Source organism: Homo sapiens, chromosome 22 (assembly GCF_000001405.40).
Source record: "Homo sapiens chromosome 22, GRCh38.p14 Primary Assembly".
In the NCBI taxonomy this organism is placed as follows: Eukaryota; Metazoa; Chordata; class Mammalia; order Primates; family Hominidae; genus Homo; species Homo sapiens.
The window spans coordinates 31,167,256-31,189,015 of NC_000022.11; the positions used below are offsets into that span (position 1 = coordinate 31,167,256).

Sequence of the window (21,760 nt, forward strand, 5' to 3'; positions counted from 1 at the left end):
CTCTGAGGCTCAAGCAATCCTCTTGCCTCAGCCCCCTAAAGTGCTGGAATTACAGCAGTGAGCCATTGTGCCTGGCCCATTTTAATTATTTTTAAATGTACAATTCAGTGGCATTAAGTAAATTCACAATGTTGTATAACCATCACCACTATTTCTAAAACTTTTTCAGCATACCAAACAGAAACTCTACCCATGAAGCAATAACTCCTCATTCTCTCCTCCCCCCAGCTCCTGGTAACCTCTGATCCACTTTCTATCTGTATGAATTTGCCTATTCTGGATATTTCTAATAAGATTCTAATAAGAAAATCACACAATGTATGACCTTTTATGGAAACGTAGGGGGGTTTTTTCCTTTTTTTTTTTTTTTTTTTTTGAGACAGTCTCACTCCGTTGTCACCCAGGCTGAGTGCAGTGGTGTCATCTCAGCTCACTTCAACCTCCGCATCCTGGGTTCAAGCAATTATTGTGCTTCAGCCTCCCAAATAGCTGGAATTACAGGCGCTCACCACCACACCTGGCTCATTTTTGTATTTTTAGTAGAGATGGGGTTTTGCCATTTGCCCAGGCTGGTCTCGAACGCCTGACCTCAAGTGATCCGCCTGCCTTGGCTTCCCAGAGTGCTGGGATTATAGGCATGAGCCACCGTACCTGGGCCCAGTTTTTTAAATTGTAGTGAAATTCATATAAAATTTACCATCGTAACCATTTTTTTAAATGTACAGCTCAGTGGTATTAAGTACATTCATGTTCTAGAAACATCACCACCATCTACCTCCAGAACTGTTTTCATCTTGCAAAAGTGAAACTCTGTGTCTATTAAACAATAACTCCCTATTTCTTCTTCCCCCTAGCCACTGCCAACCACTATTCCACTTTCTGTCTCTATGATTTTGTTTACTCTAAGTACGTCATATAAGTAGAATCATACAGTATTTGTCCTTTTTATTTTTGAAGATGAGGCCTAACCGTGTGGCTGGTGTCAGACTCTTGGGTTTAAGTGAACTTTCTGCCTCAGCCTCCCAAGTAGCTGGGGTTATGTGTGGGCACCACTGCACCCAGCTTAGTATTTGTCTTCCTTTGACTGACTTACTTCACCTAACATGATGTTCTTGAGGTTCATTTATGTTGTAGCATATGTGAGAATTTTTCTTCCTTTTTAAGATAAAATGATTTTCCGTTGTATGTATTTTGCTTATCCATTCATCTGTCGATGCAAACTTGGATTGCTTCCATGTTTCAGCTATTGTGAATACTGCTACTGTGAACATTGATGTATAGCTATTTCTTTGCGACCTTGCTTTCAATTATTTGGGTACATACCTAGAGGTAGAATTGCTGGATCATATGGTAGTTCAGTTTTTAATTTTTTTGAGGAGCCTCTGTGCTGTTTTCCACAGCAGCTGTACCATTTTACATTCCCACCAACAGAGCACAGGGGTTCTATTTCTCTACATCCTTGCCAAAACTTGTTATTTTCTGGTGTTATAAAAATAGTAGTCATTCTGATGGTATCTCATTGTGCTTTTGATTTGCATTTCCCTGATGATTAGTGATGTTGAGCACCCTTCTGTGTACTTTTGGGACATTTGTATTTCTTCTTTGAAGAAATGTCTCTATTCAAGTCCTTTGCCCCCCCGCCCCACCACCACCCTTTAAAAATTTTTTTTGAGACAGAGTCTCTCTCTCTCTTGCCCAGGCTGGAGTGCAGTGGTGGAATCTGGGCTCTGCAACCTCCACCTCCTGGGTTCAAGCAATTATCTTGCCTCAGCCTCGCACGTAGCTGGAAGTACAGGCGTGTGCCACCACACCTGGCTAATTTGTTTTGTATTTTTAGTAGAGACAAGGTTTCACCATGTTGCCCAAGTTGGTCTCAAACTTCTGACCTCAAGTGATCTGCCTGCCTAAGCCTCCCAAAGTGCTGGAATTACAGGCCTGAGCCACCATACCTGGCCCCACTTTTGAATCAGGTTGTTTGTTGTTAAGTTTTAGGAGTTATCTATGTATTCAGGATATTAATTCCTTTTCAGATATATGATTTGCAAATATTTTCTCCCATTCTGTGAATTGCCATTTTACTCTATTGGTAGTGTCTTTTTATGCACAAAATTTTTAAATTTTTATGAAATCCAATTTGTCTACTTTTTCTTTTGTTACCTGTACTTTTGGTGTCATTCCAAGAAATCATTGCCAGAAATATAGTTTTTAAAGTCATGACCAAGTGGCTCCTGGTTTAAAATTCTCAGAGGCGGCCCTAATTGCTGCCTGGTTATCATACCCTACTTCTCTTTTTTTAATTTTTAGTTTTTTAAAGACAGGGTCTCTCTGTCGCCGAGGCTGGAGTGCAGTGGCGTGATCTCAGCTCACTGCAACCTCTGCCTCCCGGACTCAAGCAGTCCTCCCACCTTTGCCTCTTGAGTAGTTGGGACCACAGGCATGCGCCACTGCTCTTGGCTAATTTTTGTATTTTTTTGTAGAGATGGGGTTTTGCCATGTTACCCAGGCTGGTCTCAAACTTCTGGGCTCAAGTGATCTGCCTGCCTCCACCTTCCAAAGTGCTGGGATTACTGGCTGAGCCACCACACCCAGCCTTCAAACCGTACTTCTCTACTCTGCATCTGCTGTAGATGACAGGAGTCCATCTCTTCATTTCATTGGTCGTTGGGAACAAAGCTCCCGAGTGTTGGATCCTTGTCTTCCAGCTGGCCTAAGGACATGCAAAGATTAGAAGCAGCACTTCTATGTTCATTGAGCCAGATTGTGTCTGCTTCTGTGGAAATGGCCTAGGGGACTCACTGGCCATTCTGTCCTGGGTCCAGTTGCCAGGTTAATTCCTGTGATAGTTTCTATAGCACCTGACTCTGATACTCGCTCTCTTAATTGCTCCTCAGAAGTGCCTTGTGATGTAACAGTGATGTGGTTTTTTGTTTTTTTTTTTTGTTTGTTTGTTTGAGACAGAGTCTTGTTCAGTCGCCCAGGCTGGAGTGCAGTGGTGCAATCTCTGCTCACTGCAAGCTCCGCCTCCCGGGTTCATGCCATTCTCCTGCCTCAGCCCCCCGAGTAGCTGGGACTACATTTGCCTGCCACCAGGCCTGGCTAATTTTTTTCGTATTTTTAGTAGAGACGAGGTTTCACCATGTTAGCCAGATGGTCTCGATCTCCTTACCTTGTGATCCACCCGCCTTGGCCTCCCAAAGTGCTGGGATTACAGGCATGAGCCACCACCTCTGGCCAGATGTGGTTTTTATTTTTTATTTATTTTATTTATTTATTGAGACAGAGTCTCACTCTGTCACCCAGGGTGGAGTGCGGTAGTATGATCTCAGCTCACTGCAACCTCCACCTCCAGGGTTCAAGCGATTCCCATGTCTCAGCCTTCCAAGTAACTGGGATTACAGACATGTGCCACCACACCCAGCTAATTTGTATTTTTTAGTAGAGATAGGGTTTCACCATGTTGGCTAAGGTGGTCTCGAACTCCTGACCTCAGATGATCCACCCACCTTGTACTCCCAAAGTGCTGGGATTACAGGTGTGAGCCACCACGCCTGGCCAGGTTTTTATTTTTTAATATTTATTTATTTATTTTTGAGACAAGGTCTTTGTATGCTGCCCAGGCTGGTCTCAAACTCTTGTCCTCAAGCAATCCTCCTGCCTCAGCCTCCTGAGTAGCTGGCATGTTCCACTGTGCCTGGCATGTGGGGGTTTTTAAAGATGGACAGGTCTCTGAATACAGGAGTGGATCCTGGGCAAAGCCTAAGGAAGTTTGTTGTTTTTTCTTAACACTATCATCTCTGCCAAGGCACTTCTTAGTGTGAGAAGCTTTTTGTTTTTTAATAGTTACATTCTGACTTGGTTATAAACTCCTTGAGCACAGGAACCAGGACCTTCTCTGATTTACTTATTTATTTATTTATTTATTTATTTATTTATTTTTGAGACAGAGTTTTGTTGCCCAGGCTGGAGTGCAATGGCGCCATCTTGGCTCACTGCAACCTCCGCCTCCTTGGGTCAAGTGATTCTCCCGCCTCAGCCTCCCTAGTAGCTGGGATTACAGGCGCCCACCACTATGACCAGCTAATTTTTTTTTTTTTTTGGTGTTTTTAGTAGAGACAGGGTTTCACTATGTTGGCCAGGCTGGTCTTGAACTCCTGACCTCAGGCGATCCACCCGCCTTGGCCTCCCAAAGTGCTGGGATTACAGGCGTGAGCTACTGCACCCAGCCCTGATTTATTTTTATCATGGGTCTGGTAGTTGGCATTCTCTAAGTGTTTGCCAAACAGCACTGGTAACAAATACAATGGAGGTGGCTCAAGGCACAAGAGCAATTTGTAAAAGTCAATATTATAGACTTTTCAAAATGGTATCATTTTGGTTTTATCTTTAATCACAGTTGGTCCTAGTCAGGACCTTCTGTTGAAAGAAGTGAGAGGCTGGGCATGGTGGCTTGTGCCTGTAATCCCAGCACTTTGGGAGGCCGAGGCAAGCGGATCACCTGAGGTCGGGAGTTTGAGACCAGCCTGACCAACATGGAGAAACACCATCTCTACTAAAAATACAAAATTAGCCAGGTGTGGTGGTGCATGCCTGTAATCCCAGCTACTCAGGAGGCTGAGGCAGGAGAATCGCTTGAACCTAGGAGGCGGAGGTTGCGGTGAGCCAAGATTGCGCCATTGCACTCCAGCCTGGGCAACAAGAACGAAACTCCATCTCAAAAAAAAGAAAGGAGAAGTGAGATCATTGTTTTGTCAAGTATATACCGGGTATTAAAATTTAAAAAGTTTTCTACTTAATTGGTTAGATCTTGTCAAACTTATTGTTTTTATACTCTACCTTCAGAATATCTTAGAGGTCTTTAGCTCAACCTCAGGTAAAATATGAATTAATGACATTTTATAGAATATGAATTAATGAGATTTCACTGACTGTGTGAAAATAAAAGTGAAACCTGGCCAGGTGTGGTGGCTAATGCCTGTAATCCCAGCATTTTGGGAGGCTGAGGCGGGCAGATCACTTGAGGTCAGGAGTTCGAGACCAGCCTGACCAACATGGCGAAACCCTGTCTCTACTGAAAATACAAATAAATTAGGCAGGCATTGTGGTGCACACCTGCAATCATGAATTCAGAATATTAATCTTACTGCTTCCTCATTAATTTCTTTGTCTAATAGGGGCTAGGCACTGTTTCATACTTATTTAAAATAACAACAAGGCTGGGCGCGGTGGCTCATGCCTGTAATCCCAGCACTTTGGGAGGCCGAGGCAGGCGCATCACCTGAGGTCAGGAGTTCAAGACCAGCCTGGCCAACAAGGTGAAACTCCATCTCTACTAAAAATACAAAAATTGGCCAGTCATGATGGTGCACACCTGTGGTCCCCGCTACTCAGGAGGCTGAGGCAGGAGAATCACTTGAACCCAGGAAGCAGAGGTTGCAGTGAGCCAAGATCTTGCCACTACACTCCAGCCTGAGCAACAGAGTGAGACCCCGTCTCAAAAAAAAAAAAAAAAAAAAGCAAAACCCTTATTTTTTAAACTTTTCTCATGACAAAGGGATGGCTGGAACAATTATTCCCCATTTGCAGGTAAGGACACTGGCATAGTGAGTGACAGACCTGAGCCTTAGGCTAAGTCCTCTGGCTCCAGATTATTTCTTTCATGGTGTTATACTAGAAATTCACAGCCCTTGACTGGTATCTGTCCAGTCTGAAGAGCTTTTCTTTAAAACACTATTTTCCTCAGCTGTATTGGTTTGATTGAAATTAAATCCCCTTCATTCATTCACATACCTTAATCAAACATCTACTTCCTGTCAGGAACTGTGCTGTTGGCCCTAGGAGGTATCTCACTGGAGTGGGTAATAGTTCAGTGGATAACCAAACCTCTGTGTGAGTATGTTATCTTTAATAGGGAGAAATTTGAGAAAACTTGAAACTACTTCTGGTTGCAGATCCCTCAATTTTTTTTTCATTTGTGTAAGAGTTTTGGGTAATACTTAAAAAAAAAAAAATTGACTCTAAGTTATGTAACATTTCCAGTTCTGAACAGCATGTTTTGCTGTTATAGGATACTGATTTTCCACAACTCTAGTTGGCTATATTGAGTTGTACAGTTCTAATTGCTCCTGGGCATCAGATCTGTCAACTCATTCACACACACACAGACACACACACACACACACACACACACGTATGTATATATCAGGTGCTCCTGAGGCACCTAGCCCTGTGCTGAGTAAGGAACCTGGAAGCTGGGTCTGCGCTTGACAAGACGCACAAGAACAGATCACTGAGTTACCATTTGTTAAGGACGTTGGCTTGGGTTGGGAAGCTTTGCCTCTGACTAGGTCTGTGACCATGGGCAAGTGACCTAACTACTCTGAGCCTTTATTTAACATCCCAAGGGATGCTAATGATGATACAGTAGTGTTTACCTAAAGGCAGGCCATAAAGATTAAATGAGATAATTCATGTAGAGGGCTGAGCAGTGTTAGCTATGTTACTTATAGTGATAAGAAATATAACAAGTGTCCCCTAATTTTAACACTTGGGGAAAATCTGATTTTCTCTGGGTCAAATTGTATCTAATTTTAGATTTCCTCTCAGTTCATAAACATACACAGTTCTGATGTCTCATCTACTCTGCATTCAAGGAATGATGCTCATTGAGAAAGGAAAGTTGTGACTCATTTACTCAGCAAATTAACCAAGTACCTGCTGGTTGCATATGTCTATGAGGAATATACAAAAACAGTTTACCTTCAGTGAACTCAGAGACCTTAAAAGGGAGGGGGATTAACATTTCATGAGTACTTAACTATGTGCCAGGCACTATGCTAGTCCCGTACTGTTTTATCTCTATTTCTTAGAACTGTCTTGTGAGGAAGATATTAGCCTCATTTTAGCAAATGAGAAAAACAAAGGCTCAGAAAGAAAATAACTTGTCTGAAATCACAGAATAAGTTGCAGAGCTGAGATTTGAACTCAGCCATCACATTCCTCTGTGCCGTGCTAGTTTTTAAGGAAAAAAGTTAAGGAACATTTTATGACAAAAGGCAACTTCTTAGATGACACTTAAAAGTTTGTGCCAGTGGTAGTACAAATCCCATTTCACTCTTTAAAAAAAATTTTTTTTTTTAATTTAAGAAACAGAGTCTCCTTCTGTCTCCTAGGTTGGAGTGCAGTGGCGTCATCATCGCTCACTGCAGCCTTGAGCTCCTGGGCTCAAGTGAGCATCCTGCCTCAGCCTCCCAAGGAGCTAGAACTACAGGCACACGCCACCATACCTGGCTAATTTTAAATTTTTTTGGTGATGGAGTCTCACTATATTGTTCAGGCTAGTTTTGAACTCTTGGCCTTAACTGATCCTCCTGCCTCGGCCTCCCAAAGTGCTAAGATTACAGGAGTGAGCCACCATTCTTGTCCTCCATTTTGTCCTTTTTTAAAAATGAAACATGGTAATTTTTCAAAAATAATTGAAGCTTAAAACCCAACAAATGAACAAAACATTCTTTGTATTTAAAAATAATGGAAGAGGCTGGGTGTGGTGGCTCATGCCTGTAATCCCAGCACTTTGGGAGGCCGAGGTGGGCGGATCACCTGAGGTCAGGAGTTCGAGACCAGCTTGACCAACATGCTGAAACTCGGCCTCTACGAAAAATACCAAAAAAATTAGTTGGGTGTGGTGGCGGGTGCCTGTAATCCTAGCTACTTGGGAGGCTGAGATGGGAGGATCGCTTGAACCCAGGAGGCAGAGGTTGCGGTGAGCCGAGATCGCGCCGTTGCACTTCAGTTGGGCGACAGAGCGAGCCTCCGTCTCAAATTAAAAAAAAAAAAAAAAAGTAGTGGACGAAAATGTGAAAAAGTAGGAACAGCTGGCTCTAGAATCCCCACTCAGATATGTGTTATCTCTGGGCTTGGTGGCTGATTGCCTGTAATCTCAGCAATTTGGGAGGCCAAGGCTGAGGCAGGTGGATTGCTTGAGCCCAGGAGTTCAAGACCAGCCTGGGCAGCATGGCGAAACCCCATCTCTACAAACAAACAAACAAAAAACTAGCTGGATGTGGTGGCGCACAGCTGTAATCCCAGCTACTCAGGAGGCTGATGCAGGAGAATTGCTTGAACCCGGTAGGTGGAGGTTGCAGTGAGCCGAGATCACGCCATTGCACTCCATCCTGGGCAACAAGAGTGAAACTGTCTCAAAAAAAAAAAAAAGCCATATATCATCTTTTGGAAAACATACATGTCATTGTCAAGGACTTAGGGAAACAAATGTCTTATGTATTTCTCATAGGAATATAAATTGGCACATCTTCCCTGGGGGTATTCAGCACTGTCTCAAAGTTACAAATATAAATACTTTGACCCTGCAGTTCTACTTCTAGGGTTTATACTAATAATATAGTCAAGCAGTCTTGAAGGTAGAAAACAGGGCTGTTGGGTTCCAGGGATAGGGAGAGACTTTTCAGCCTATATCCTTTTGTTGTACCTATTGAATTTTGAGCCATGTAAACGTGTTACTTATTAAAAAAATAAATTCATAAAATTAAAATTGTTAAAATTTCTGAGATGATTATTATTCTAAGGACCATTCACACCTCAGTTGTGAATGTACTTAATTCAGATTGGTTTCCTTTTTGTTCTCTACTGAGATCTGAAGGTATTGGACCTTTCACATCTTTTATTTTGTAATTTGAGATGGGAGCTCTCTGTGTTGACCAGGCTGGTCTCGAACTCCTGGCCTCAACCAATCCTCCCATCTTGGCCTCCCAAAGTGCTAGGATTACAGATGTGAGCCACCATGCTTGGCCTATTTTCTCCTGAGTATTAACAGAGTACTCACTATGGAAAAGGTGGCAAGTACATGTAAGTATTTTTTAAAGCTTAAGAAATTTGTCCATAAGTCCACTGTCCGGAGACTACTACAGTTAATATTTTTGACCTCTTTTTTTGGTATCTTTTTAACCTGCTGATAACAAATAAATTCAATTTTTTTTTTTTTTGAGACAGAATCTCGCTCTGTCGCCCAGGCTGGAGTGCAGTGGGCTCGCTGCAGCCTCTCCCTCCCAGGTTCAAGCAATTCTCCTGTGTCAGACTCCCAGCTGCTCCAAATCCTGGGCTCAAGCAATCTTCCTGCCTCAGCCTCCCAAAGTGCTAGGAATGCAGGTATGACCCACCGCACCTGGCCACATATATATTCAACTTTGTATACAATTTTACATCCTGCTTTTTTCTTTTTCTTTTTTTTTTTTTTTTAGACAGAGTCTTGCTCTGTCACCCAGGCTGGAGTGTAGTGGTGCGATCTCAGCTCACTGTAAGCTCCGCCTCCCAGGTTCACACCATTCTCCTGCCTCAGCCTCCCGAGTTGCTGGGACTACAGGTGCCCGCCACCATGCCCGGCTAATTTTTTGTATTTTTAGTAGAGACGGGGTTTCACCGTGTTAGCCAGGATGGTCTCGATCTCCTGACCTCGTGATCCGCCTGCCTCAGCCTCCCAAACTGCTGAGATTGCAGGCGTGAGCCACCGTGTCCAGCCCATCCTGTTTTTTTCACTTAACATTATGTCATGTAATTGAAATTCCTACGTAAGCAAAATCTCTGTGGAAGCATTATTTTTAGTGGCTGTGTAATCTATTATGTGGACGTACCAGTTTATTTAACCAGGTAATGGGAGCTAGTTGGGGAGAAAAAGAGACGTTAAAATCATGGAGCCCTTTGGAAGGTTAGGCAGATCTGGGTTAGGTACCCTATAGGGTATGTGAGCCAGGCAGGCCAGGGCTGAAGGGCACTGAGAGTCAAAGGCTTTTCTTCTTCCCTTAGTCCCAGCCCTTGCTGCCTTACCATGAATTATGCACTTGTTCCTTGTACTGTGTCTACATCCTCCCCAGCATTCCCTGTCTTCAGGTACTATGTACACACTTCTGTCAGTTCCCAGTACACTGGGTTGCCTTGTTGGTTCACTTGTCTGTGTCTCCCTTTAGACTGAAAAAAAAGTTTTATTTCTGTATCTTGAATGCCTGGCAAATAATAGGATCTTTAATGAATCTTTGAAGATTCATTCCTATCTACTAAGTAGATAGGAAGATTAGAGGGAACCAGAGAAAAGGACCAGTGCAGCCCCAATGAAAAGAAGCCAGTCCTTTCAGCCTTCTCTGTTCTTCTGATCCTGTATTTGAGGGCCAAATCTCCATGGGCTAGCCTAGGAACCTAAACACCACTTAGACTTTAAAATTTCAAAGCTGGTTTATGTGTTTCCAAGTTCCAATAAACTTATTCAGAGTTCTTCCCATTCCAGCCTTCTATGAGTGTGATGTAGACATTCTTGGAATGCAGGTCCCATTTCTGCCTACGTGTGGTCCAGCAGCAGTCTAATGAGCAGCGTAGACAGGCTCAGGCATGCCAGGGTTCCTGGCAGAAAGCTTCTGTGTGAATAAGCATGTGCTCACAGAAATGAGACCTCTGCTGGGATCATGCCTGTTATTTATCACCCAAATTCATAGTCTTCATATCTAAGATTAACATTTCTAGGTGTCTCACTACACCCTGGTCTAGAAATTCTTGGAGTTAAAGGGACAGAAAAGGCAGATGATGAATTCCTACAGTTCTCTAGAACTTGATAATTGAATTTAAGAATGCTACAGAGAAATTTCCTCATGAGATCAAGTTCCCTGGTGGTTCCTGCAGGGATATTCAACTCTCGTGTTCTCTTTCTTGCTCAATTCCTGTGAGGTGGGCCAGACCAAGTAGACCAAAGGCCAGCTCTGGGAAGGTAATATATTGAAGATACTGGGTCAGTCAACTTCAGCCGCCAGGCTCTGTGTTCCTACAGGATCATTAAGTATTGCAAATCCGCGTTAGTCCCAGCACCACATGTGTTGCCCTGGACATCTCAAAGTTAGGACTGTTTTTTAAAACTAGGTGTGAACTTATTTCTTAAAATGATCAGCTGTGTTCCAGTTGGACTAAATGCTGATTAATCTGAATTCAGCAGATTTGTCCCTTACCCCCCAAGTTTATCTGACCTCTCTGTAGTCCCTGTGGATTGTAGCTGGATAGGCCCTGAGGTTTCTGTCCTTCTAAAATACTGTATTTTGTTGGTATTGCTTTGTGCTATTGATAGAGCTGTACCCTCTTCTAGAGCTGGGTTTCCAAAACTCTGTTAATTAGAGAATCATCTAGGGTAGAAAGTGAGGGCTACATTAAAAGCATACAGATTCTTAGGCCTGATCTAGGTCCAGATCCTATTTAAATCTCTGAAGGGATCTGGGAACCAGATCTTTCGTGGGGTGAGAGGATGCTTTGTTTAAGAAAAACAGGCAAAAACAACAACGAAAGGAAAAACAGGTGAGTTTGATGGAGCCCCTTGTTTAGAATTCTTAAAATTAATCTATGTGCCTTCAGCTCCTGTACTAGACTCCAAGACCTCAACTTGGTCTTATTCCTCTTTGTAACTCCTCCACAGTTGGTAGCACCAGACCTCAAATGTAATTGGCATTGGAAAACTGCTGGTTGGTTGAATGAATAAGTGGATGAGTGATTAATTTACTCTGTACTCATTTCAAACAGCACAAAAGTTACAACATTGCACGATAAATTTGAGGGAAGACAAAAACCAGGTATTTAATTTTGTAAAGCAGCATGTTAATAGAAAAACATAAGAATGAAGAGAGTGCTGAATATTGTGTTAGGAAGTCTGAATTTGGCATTGCGTGGTGTCCTGGCCTTAGGCAGTCCTCTAATGTCCCTGGCCCAGTGTCCTCATCTGTAAAATGGCATGAGGATAAAATGCAGCGATAGATGTGAAATGCTTTGAAAACTAGAGAGTGGATTCTGGTCAGGAGAAAAGAATGGTCAGGGTAGGGACAGAGGCACAGAACTAGCCACAACAAGGTTGCTCTGTGGTTAGGTGAAAGTCTATAGCTTCTACAGGGACCATGAGAAATTTTAGCAGGATGGCCATATAGGTATGCTCAGGACCTGATTCTCTTTCTGCCTAGTTCCTGAGCCGATCAGGAACCTCTATGTTTTGGGCCACTGTCCCAGTCCTGGTAGACCCATATGGTTCTGTAGGTGCTCAGTAGACAATCCCCAGGGGAAGCTGCTGATTTCTGCCATGCCACCTTGGTGTACTGAGATTCCTGTGCATAGGTGTAGGAGAAGGTGAGAAGAGGTGGCTCCAGGGATGAGTATGCAGCTGTGGGGCCCAGAATATGTTACAAAGAAAAGTTGGTGACCAGCCAGCTGGGAGTTGACCAAAGTCAGTCATGCGTGCCCATCCTCACTCAGCAAATATTTGAGTGCCTGCTAGGATGAGGCTGTAGATCCTGGGTGGGGACCATGTGGTGTCTACTAAGATTTACAAGGAGAGTGATATGGCCTGCCTACAGTTGGGACATGCAGGCCTGTCTCAGTGCCTGGCCTGGCACAAGGCTGCCACTCCCTGCAAACTCTGAGCTGACCTGTTACTGTCCCTTAACCATTCCTACTCCAACACCTACCTTGATCCTGGTTGTCCCCTCATGCCTGTGTGTAGGAGTATGGGCCATGCACAGCTTTGTTGGGTCCACGAAGTGGGGTGGCAGTGGACCAGGTTACATGGTATGAAATGTGTGCCTCCCCAACAGCAACAGCCCTGTCCTGCCTTGGAGGGCCCTCCAGGTCACTGTGTTATTTCATAAGGCCACCTCAGTAGCCATGTAGGAGGCATGATACTCTCACTTTTCAGGTGAGAAAAGAGATTCAAATCATCAAGAGATCTACCGTGGCCATATGGACAGTCAGTGATGGAACCAGGACTTGAACTCAGAACTTTCAGGATTGGGGAAAACCAGAACATGGGGTGGAAACCAGAACATGGCGGGGGGGTGGGGGGTAGGAAATTTTATGTATTATTATTCTTTTGACTGATTTCAAAAGTAATACATGTAAAGGCCGGGTGCAGTGGCTCACACGTGTAATCCCAGCACTTTGGAAGGCTGAGGTGGGTGGATCACCTGAGGTCAGGAGTTCAAGAGCAGCCTGGCCAACATGGCGAAACCCTGTCTCTACTAAAAAGTACAAAAATTAGCTGGGCGTGGTGGTGGGCACCTATAAGCCCAGCTACTCAGGAAGCTGAGGCAGGGAGAATTGCTTGAACCCGGGAGGTGGAGGTTGCAGTGAGCCGAGATCACACCACTGCATTCCAGCTTGGGTGACAGACTGAGACTTGTCTCAAAAAAAAAGAAGAAAAAAAAGTAATACAGTTGAGTATGTTCTTCCACATTGTTAAAGACTTTTTTTTTTTTTTTAATACAATCAGAGTCTCGCTCTAATTGCCCAGGCTGGAGTGCAGTGGTACATTCATAGCTCTCTGCAGCCTCAAACTCCTGGGCATAAGTAATCCTCCTACCTTGGCCTCCCAAAGTACTAGGGTTACAGGCATGAGCCACCATGCCTGGCCTAAAGCCATTTTCTAATACCTATATTCATTATTGTAACATATGTAAAATACTTCACATTTTATGATTTCCTTTTTAAAAATGTTCTTGTGAAAGTAATACTTATTTGTTATAAAACATTGAAACAGGGTAAGAATATAATAATTCAATGTCTCCTAGCCCTTATAATCCCAGAAATAACTGTTGATGGTTTAATGTGTATTTTCTAGGCATTTTCTCTCTCTCTCTGTGTGTGTGTGTGTGTGTGTGTGTGTGTGTGTGTGTGTGTGTCTGCCTGTCTGTCTGTGTATGGATCCACACACATACATACTCATATACATACTTAGTTTTTACCCAAATAAGTTTATATACATACTCTTCTACAACTTAATCTTTTTAAAAAATACCTTTTATTGGGGCTAGGCATGGTGGCTCACTGGGAGGCTGAGGCAGGAGAATTGCTTGAGCCCAGGAGTTTGAGACTACCCTGGGCAACATAGACCTTGTTTCTACAAAATAATTTAAAAATTAGCTGAGCATGGTGGTGTGCACCTGTAGTCCTAGCTGCTTGGGAGGCTGAGGCAGGGGATTGCTTGAGCCCAGGAGGTTGAGCTTGCAGTGAGCTGTGATTGCACCACTGCACTCCAGCCTGGGCAACAGAGCGAGACCATCTCAAAAAAAAGAAAAAAAAAATACCTTTTATTGTAATTTTCAAACACACACACAGACTATTACAGTGAACCTCCATTCATCACCCAGCTTCAACAACCAACTTCCTTGTTCTTGTTTCATCTTTTCTCTCCATTTTTATTTTTTTCCCCTGGAGTATTTTAAAGCAAATCCCAAACATTGTATTGCTTCAAAAATATGTGTCTCTACATGCACACGTATGTTTATTGCGGGACTACTCACAATAGTAAAGACTTGGAACCAAGCCAGATGTCCAACAATGGTAGACTGGATTAAGAAAATGTGGCACATATACACCATGGAATACTATGCAGCCATAAAAAATGATGAGTTCATGTCCTTTGTAGGGACGTGGATGAAGCTGGAAACCATCATTCTCAGCAAACTATCGCAAGGACAAAAAACCAAACACCTCATGTTCTCACTCATAGGTGGGAAATGAACAACGAGAACACTTGGACACAGGAAGGGGAACATCACACACCTGGGCCTGTTGTGGGGTGGGGGGAGGGGGAAGGGATAGCATTAGGAGGTATACCTAATGTAAATGACGAGTTAATGGGTGCAGCACACCAACATAGCACATGTATACATATGTAACAAACCTGCACGTTGTGCACATGTACCCTAGAACTTAAAGTATAATAAAAATATATATATATTTAAAAAAATGTGTCTCTAGCAGATCAGGTTTTGTTTAAAAAAAAAAACACAATATCATTATTATACCCAACAAAATTAACAGTAATTCCTTTTTTTTTTTTTTTTTTTGAGACAGGGTTTCCACTCTGTCACCCAGGCTGGAGTGCAGCAGCACAATCACGGCTCACTGCAGCCTCCACCTCCCAGGCCCAAGTGATCCTCCCACCTCAGCCTCCTGACTGTCTGGGGCTACAGGTGTGTACCACCACACCCAGCTAATTTTTTATTTTTATTTATTTATTTTTTTTGAGACAGAGTCACTATGTCACTCAGGCTGGAATGCAGTGGTATAATCTTGGCTCACTGCAACTTCCGCCTCGCAAGCTTAAGCGATTCTCCTGCCTCAGCCTCTGGAGTAGCTGGGACCATAGACATGCACCACCACACCCAGCTAATTTTTGTTTTGTTTTATTTTGTTTTGGTAGAGATAGGGTTTCACCATGTTGCCCAGGCTGGTCTCCACCTCCTGAGCTCAAGCGATCCACCTACCTTGGCCTCCCAAAGTGCTGGAATTATAGACATGAGCCACCATGCCCAGCCAACAATAATTCCTTCATATCGAGTAATACCTAGGCTAAACAGTTTTTGTCAATCATGTCACAAGTGTCTTTGTACAGTTGGTTTGTTTGAATCTTGTTCCAATAAGACCCACATACTACAAGTGGTTGGAATATCTCGTATCTCAATCTATAACCCCAATCCTGTCCATGCTATTTATTTTTTGTAGAACTTTATTGTTTGTCCTGTAGAAAGTCCCACATTCTGGATTTGGCTGATGACATCTTCATGGAGTCGTTTAATACTTGCACCTATCCTCCATATTTTCTGTAAATAGGTAATTTATTTTATTTATTATTATTATTATTATTATTATTATTTTTGAGATGGAGTCTCTCTCTTGTCACCCAGGTTGGAGTGCGATGACACAATCTCAGTTCACTGCAACCTCCGCCTCCCGGGTTCAAGCGATTCTCATGCCTCAGCTTCTCAAGTAGCTGGGATTACAGGTGTGTGCCACCATGCCCAGCTAATTTTTGTGTTTTTAGTAGAGACAGGGTTTCACCATGTTGGCCAGGCTTGTCTTGAACTCCTGATCTCAGGTATCCACCTGCCTCGGCCTCCCAAAGTGCTGGGATTACAGGCGTGAGCCACCATGCCTGGCTGGTAATTCATTTTAGATGCTTGATCAGTGTCTGAGTTTTAACGCAAACATGTTTCATTGGTGGTGCTGTGTACTTCTGTTGCATCACATCAGGAGGCTGATGTGACTGATCTGACTTTATGGTTGTCTTTCCAAAATCTATATGCATAATTTTTAATTTTTTTTTTTTTAATTTTAGTATTTATTGATCATTCTTGGGTGTTTCTCGGAGAGGGGGATTTGGCAGGGTCATAGGACAATAGTGGAGGGAAGGTCAGCAGATAAACATGTGAACAAAGGTCTCTGGTTTTCCTAGGCAGAGGGCCCTGCCGCCTTCCGCAGTGTTTGTGTCCCTGGGTAGTTGAGATTAGGGAGTGGTGATGACTCTTAACGAGTATGCTGCCTTCAAGCATCTGTTTAACAAAGCACATCTTGCACCGCCCTTAATCCATTTAACCCTTAGTGGACACAGCACATGTTTCAGAGAGCAGGGGTTGGGGGTAAGGTTATAGATTAACAGCATCCCAAGGCAGAAGAATTTTTCCTAGTACAGAACAAAATGGAGTCTGCTATGTCTACTTCTTTCTACACAGACACAATAACAATCTGATCTCTCTTTCTTTTCCCCACATTTCCCCCTTTTCTATTCGACAAAACCGCTATTGTCATCATGGCCCGTTCTCAATGAGCTGTTGGGTACACCTCCCAGACGGGGTGGCGGCCGGGCAGAGGGGCTCCCACCTCCCGGACGGGGCAGCTGTCCAGGCGGGGGCTGCCCCGAGCTCCCGGACGGGGCAGCTGGCCGGGCGGGGGCTGCCCCCCCCCACCTCCCGGACGGGGCGGCTGGCCGGTCGGGGGCTGCCCCTCCCTTCCCGGACGGGGCGGCTGGCCGGGCGGGGGCTGCCCACCACCTCCTGGACGGGGCAGCTGCCGGGCAGAGACGCTCCTCACTTCCCGGACGGGGCGGCTGCCGGGCAGAGGGGCTCCTCACTTCTCAGACAGGGTGGCAGGTCAGAGACGCTCCTCACCTCCCAGACGGGTGGCGGTGGGGCAGAGACACTCCTCAGTTCCCAGACGGGGTCGCGGCCTGGCAGAGGCACTCCTCACATCTCAGACGGGGTGGCGGGGCAGAGGCGCTCCCCACATCCCAGAGGATGGGCGGCCAGGGAGAGACTCTCCTCACTTCCTAGACGGGATGACCGCCGGGGAGAGGCGCTCCTCACTTCCCAGACTGGGCGGCTGGGCAGAGGGGCTCCTCACATCCCAGACGATGGGCGGCCAGGCAGAGACGCTCCTCACTTCCTAGATGGGGTGGCGGCCGGGCAGAGGCTGCAATCTCGGCACTTTGGGAGGCCAAGGCAGGCGGCTGGGAGGTGGAGGTTGTAGCGATCCGAGATCACGCCACTGCACTCCAGCCTGGGCAACATTGAGCACTGAGTGAGCGAGACTCCGTCTGCAATCCTGGCACCTCGGGAGGCCGAGGCTGGCAGACCACTGGCGGTCAGGAGCTGGAGACCAGCCCGGCCAACACGGCAAAACCCCGTCTCCACCAAAAAATATGAAAACCAGTCAGGTGTGGCGGCGCGCGCCTGCAATCCCAGGCACTCGGCAGGCTGAGGCAGGAGAATCAGGCAGGGAGGCTGCAGTGAGCCAAGATGGCGGCAGTACTGTCCAGCCTCAGCTCGGCATCAGAGGGAGACCGTGCAAAGGGGAGACGAGGACCGTGCAAAGGGGAGAGGGAGGGGGAGGGGGAGGGAGAGCAATTTTTAATTTTTTAAGATTTTTTTTTTTTTTTAAAAAGAAACACACATAGGTTGGGTACTTAGGATTGATTGTTGAGCTGGAATAATGAGGAAAGATAGTAATGTGGCCCTCAAAAGTGGGTTTTATCCTAAGATGAAGAGAGCACATGTAATATGAAGAAGAGGAAGGTCAGAGAGAAGGTCTTGGAGCCGAGGCCAGCGCACGAAACTGGTGCCACCAGCATCCAGCTACCCTTCTGGGACATTATGTAAAATGATGTAACTGAGTGAAAAAGTGGTGAGCTGGCCTCCTCTCTCTGCTCAAGTCACTGAGCTGGTATCGTGGTGAGGGATACTCATGAGGCCAGAGCTCTGAGTCCACCGTGTGAAGGCAGGAAGCTTTCTGGGTCTGAGAAGGCTGTAACTTTTTTGGTCCTTGTCTTCTCATACTCTGGAAGCTGACATCAGGGTGACCTTCTGGTGTTCCAGTGGTAAGTCCTAAATTTGTGAAGGGGCCGCTTGTTTTGGAGGTAACAGTAGGTTAAGATGACCTGGAGAGGCACAGTCTAAGAGCTGGAGGGGGCCACCCAGGACACCAGGGAGTCCAGTGCCTCATTTTACAGATGAGAAAATTATGATCAGTAGAGGGAAAGGGAGGTTCCCAGAACCACCTAGCAAGCTAGAGGCTGAGTCCAGTATCCAGGCCTCCACTTCTCTGACTGTGGTAGCCAGCGAACATTTCCTACTTGGAATTTCTGAGGTGATGAGGGTGGCCAGATAAGGCTCCTGACAGATTGTTAATGTGCATCCAGAATTCCTGGGTATCCCTTGGTGTTGGTTTTATCCTCTTTCTTGTTCAACTCCTGGCTGGGTTCTTTGACTTGGAGGTGGTGGTCAACAGTGGTCTGTTTATACCAGCATTTAGTGGCCAGTTTAGTATGTAGTGGTACGGTGCAAACAGGGTGTCCATGAGTCCCAGTCTCAGCCCCACATTAGTCAGCTAGCCAAGGTAACTGCAGTTTCCTAAAGAAATTGGACCAGATCAAGATTGTCCAAAACATAGTATGAGTGTGCCAGGTGATGTCAGGTGGTATGAGGGTAAACTTTTCATTTGTTACTTTTATATTAACCTTTTTACTTATGGTAAGTATTACTGGTTTTCCATTTATTACAGTGACATAAACCTCTTCTTTAAATGTACTGAGGCTAAAAAGTTGATATATTTAGATAAAATAAGGTGAATAGTATTCCAATGTGGCAGAAGGAGGATTGAAAAAGATTGCAATATGGAAGACCTTGGACCAGATGATCTTTCTGGTCCTTATTAGCTTCCTATCCTTTCATAGTTACAGGAATTTCTTAATATTCTGGCGTATGGGCTGGGCACAGTGGCTCACACCTGTAATCCTAGCACTTTGGGAAACTGAGGCAGGTGGATCACCTGAGGTCAGGAGTTCAAGACCAGCCTGGCCAACATGATGAAACCCCATCTCTACTAAAAATACAAAAATTAGCCAGGTGTGGTGGCAGGCACCTGTAATCCCAGCTACTCGGGAGGCTGAGGCAGGAGAATCACTTGAACCTGGGAGGCAGAGGTTGCAGTGAGCCAAGATTGTGCCACTGCACTCCAGCCTGGGCGACAGAGTGAAACTCCATCTCTTAAAAATATATATATATGTTCTGGCATATGACAATCACAACCTTCCTGCCTCAGCAGATTCACCCATCAATATAGAGGCTGGACAGCCTGAACATTCCATTTAATGTAGCATGTATTTGTCACCTGGGTTGATTGTCATGGGGGAATCTAAAGACAAGTGAGACAAGGTCCTGGTTCCTGTGGAGAACCATCTGGAGGCTGCTCTGTATTTGGTGGAGTTTGCGTATCTGTGTGATATATTCTGGACCATATTCATGAGAAGTTTCTGGGTCACTGCCCTTTGGGTAGTGCCCTACAACTCTTGTCTTCTGTAGCGCTTTGGGAAGTCTGCTCAGGGATTCAGTCATAATCAGCTCTGGAGCCTAGAGAAGACAGGAATGTTGGCATGGAAGCTGGGGGGAGAGGGCTGCAGAAATGGACAGTCAAGAGTTCTCTGCCTTTTAGGATTTCCCTGGGGAAAGTCTTCACTCAGAGCTTCGCTGACAGCCAAGGATGGCAAGCAAGGGGCCCTCGGCCTCTGCATCTCCTGAGAACTCCAGTGCAGGGGGGCCCAGTGGGAGCAGCAATGGCGCTGGCGAGAGCGGAGGGCAGGACAGCACTTTCGAGTGCAACATCTGCTTGGACACAGCCAAGGATGCCGTCATCAGCCTGTGTGGCCACCTCTTCTGGTCAGTACCCCTACTTCCACCCCAGAGAGCACATTGCCAAGTTTGGAAAGCCTGTGGCCCTGGGTGGTTTGGAGCAGAATGCTTCCTGCTCACTTTGGGAATACACTCAGGCTCAAGGGACAAGAGACCTGAGTTCCCATCCCAGCTCTGCTACCAATGAGCTGGATGACCTTGGGCAAATCCTGTCTCCACTCTAAGCTCGTTCTCCCCATCTCTAAAGTAATAATACTTACCATTTAGTGAGCACTTACTACCTGCTACTTGCTGTGCTGAGCCTAGAGGCAGTATAGCATAATGGTTATAAGCAAGGACTGTGGAACTGGGCTTCCTCCTTTTGAAGCTTGACTCTGCCACCTTCCTGTTTGACCTTGGACAAGGTACTTACACACATTCTGCCTCATTTTACAGGGTCGTTTGCAAGCATTAAATGACTCAAAATATGTAAAAGGCTTAGAAGAGCACATAGCTTGCAGTAAATACTATGTGTTAGCTATGACTATAATTGTTACTATATTTTATGTTTATATATAGATAGATACACTCATCAAAATGAAGTGTCAAGGTCGGTGTCTGTTCCAGCCTTGACGGTTACAGGAGCCCTTTCTGGCTCTGAGAACCTAGGTGCTAGGTGAAGGTCGGATTTTGGTTTTTTGTGTGTGTGTGTGTGTTTTTTTTTGTCTTGAGATTTTGAGCTGAACCTTGAAAGGTCGATCAAAAAATGCTAGGTAAAGGCGAAGGGTGTGTGTGTCACTCCAAGGCAGGGAGTTTCTAGGGACAGGCACATGCACTGTTGGACTCATCTGAGACCCTTGAGGCTACTGTATACCTCTCACAGCACTCTGGATGAGGGTCTGGGAGTGTTAGGAAAAATAATGGTTACAGTAGTGTTGAGCCAGATTATCAAACCCAGATTCGACTAAAGGGACATAGAGGTAATGAATATTTTTGAGCAGAGAAATCGTGTGAAGAAAAGGCCGTTTAAACAATATTTAAGGGATTTTAAGTTGGCAACAGCGTAAAACATCAATTTATTGGTGAATAAATAGAATGGAGCAGAGATTTTTGTTCTTGAGGCTCTTGCCCTAATTACCATCTTGTGTAAAAGCTGTTGTGATCCACATTCTCCTAGAAATTCAGGATACTTCAGGGTATCGTAAAACCAGGACTTGAAATGATTGACAAAATTAAGAATTCAAAGACAGGATACCCCTGATTTGATTATGTGAATGTATCAAATTATCACATATAACATAAAAAATGTGTACAGCTATTATGGCTGGGCTCAGTGGCTCACACCTGTAATCCAAACACTTTGAGAGGCCATGGTGGGAGGATCACTTGAGCCCAGGAGTGCAAGATGAGTCTGGGCAACATAGTGAGGCCCCACTATGTTTAAAACTAGTCAGGCATGGTGGCGGTACCTGTAGTCCTAGCTACTCGGGAGACTGAGGTGGGAGGAAGGCTTGAGCCCAGGAATTCGAGGCTACAGTGAGCTATGATTGTATCACTGCACTCCAGTCTAGGCGACAGAGAGAGACCCTGTCTCTTAAAAATATATATATATTCTGGGCTGGGCGCGGTGGCTCACGCCTGTAATCCCAGCACTTTGGGAGGCCAAGGTGGGCGGATCACAAGGTCAGGAGATCGAGACCATCCTGGCTAACACGGTGAAACCCGTTTCTACTAAAAAAAAAAAAAAAAAAAAATTAGCCGGGTGTGGTGGAGTGCACCTGTAGTCCCAGCTG

The 21,760-nt window shown here is 45.0% G+C and overlaps 1 protein-coding gene across 6 annotated transcripts in view, besides 2 other annotated features; it reads left to right on the forward strand.

The window, feature by feature from the left end:
• The window catches only part of RNF185 (ring finger protein 185), a 46,838-nt gene that overhangs the window by 7,074 nt on the left and 18,004 nt on the right, over positions 1-21,760 (forward strand). For 4 of the 6 annotated variants that reach the window (NR_024210.2, NR_024211.2, NM_152267.4 and 1 more), the window contains exon 2: positions 19,792-20,015. The exons of 1 other annotated variant lie outside the window; for it this stretch is intronic. Coding sequence is in view for 2 of the 5 variants with exons in the window: in NM_152267.4 (NP_689480.2) it covers positions 19,840-20,015 (176 nt within the window). In the remaining 3 variants the exon portion in view is untranslated. Of the gene's footprint in view, positions 1-15,713; positions 15,812-19,791; positions 20,016-21,760 lie in introns of all 6 variants that reach the window. One more of the 6 variants, NR_024209.2, reaches the window with a different exon arrangement.
• Positions 16,376-16,889: an enhancer, noted in NCBI's record as "NANOG-H3K27ac hESC enhancer chr22:31579617-31580130 (GRCh37/hg19 assembly coordinates)". NCBI's record gives its function as "activates a minimal SCP1, AML or CMV promoter by ChIP-STARR-seq in primed H9 embryonic stem cells {active_cell/tissue: H9 hESC(primed)}" and the evidence as "EXISTENCE:reporter gene assay evidence [ECO:0000049][PMID:30033119]".
• Positions 16,890-17,402: an enhancer, noted in NCBI's record as "H3K27ac hESC enhancer chr22:31580131-31580643 (GRCh37/hg19 assembly coordinates)". NCBI's record gives its function as "activates a minimal SCP1, AML or CMV promoter by ChIP-STARR-seq in primed H9 embryonic stem cells {active_cell/tissue: H9 hESC(primed)}" and the evidence as "EXISTENCE:reporter gene assay evidence [ECO:0000049][PMID:30033119]".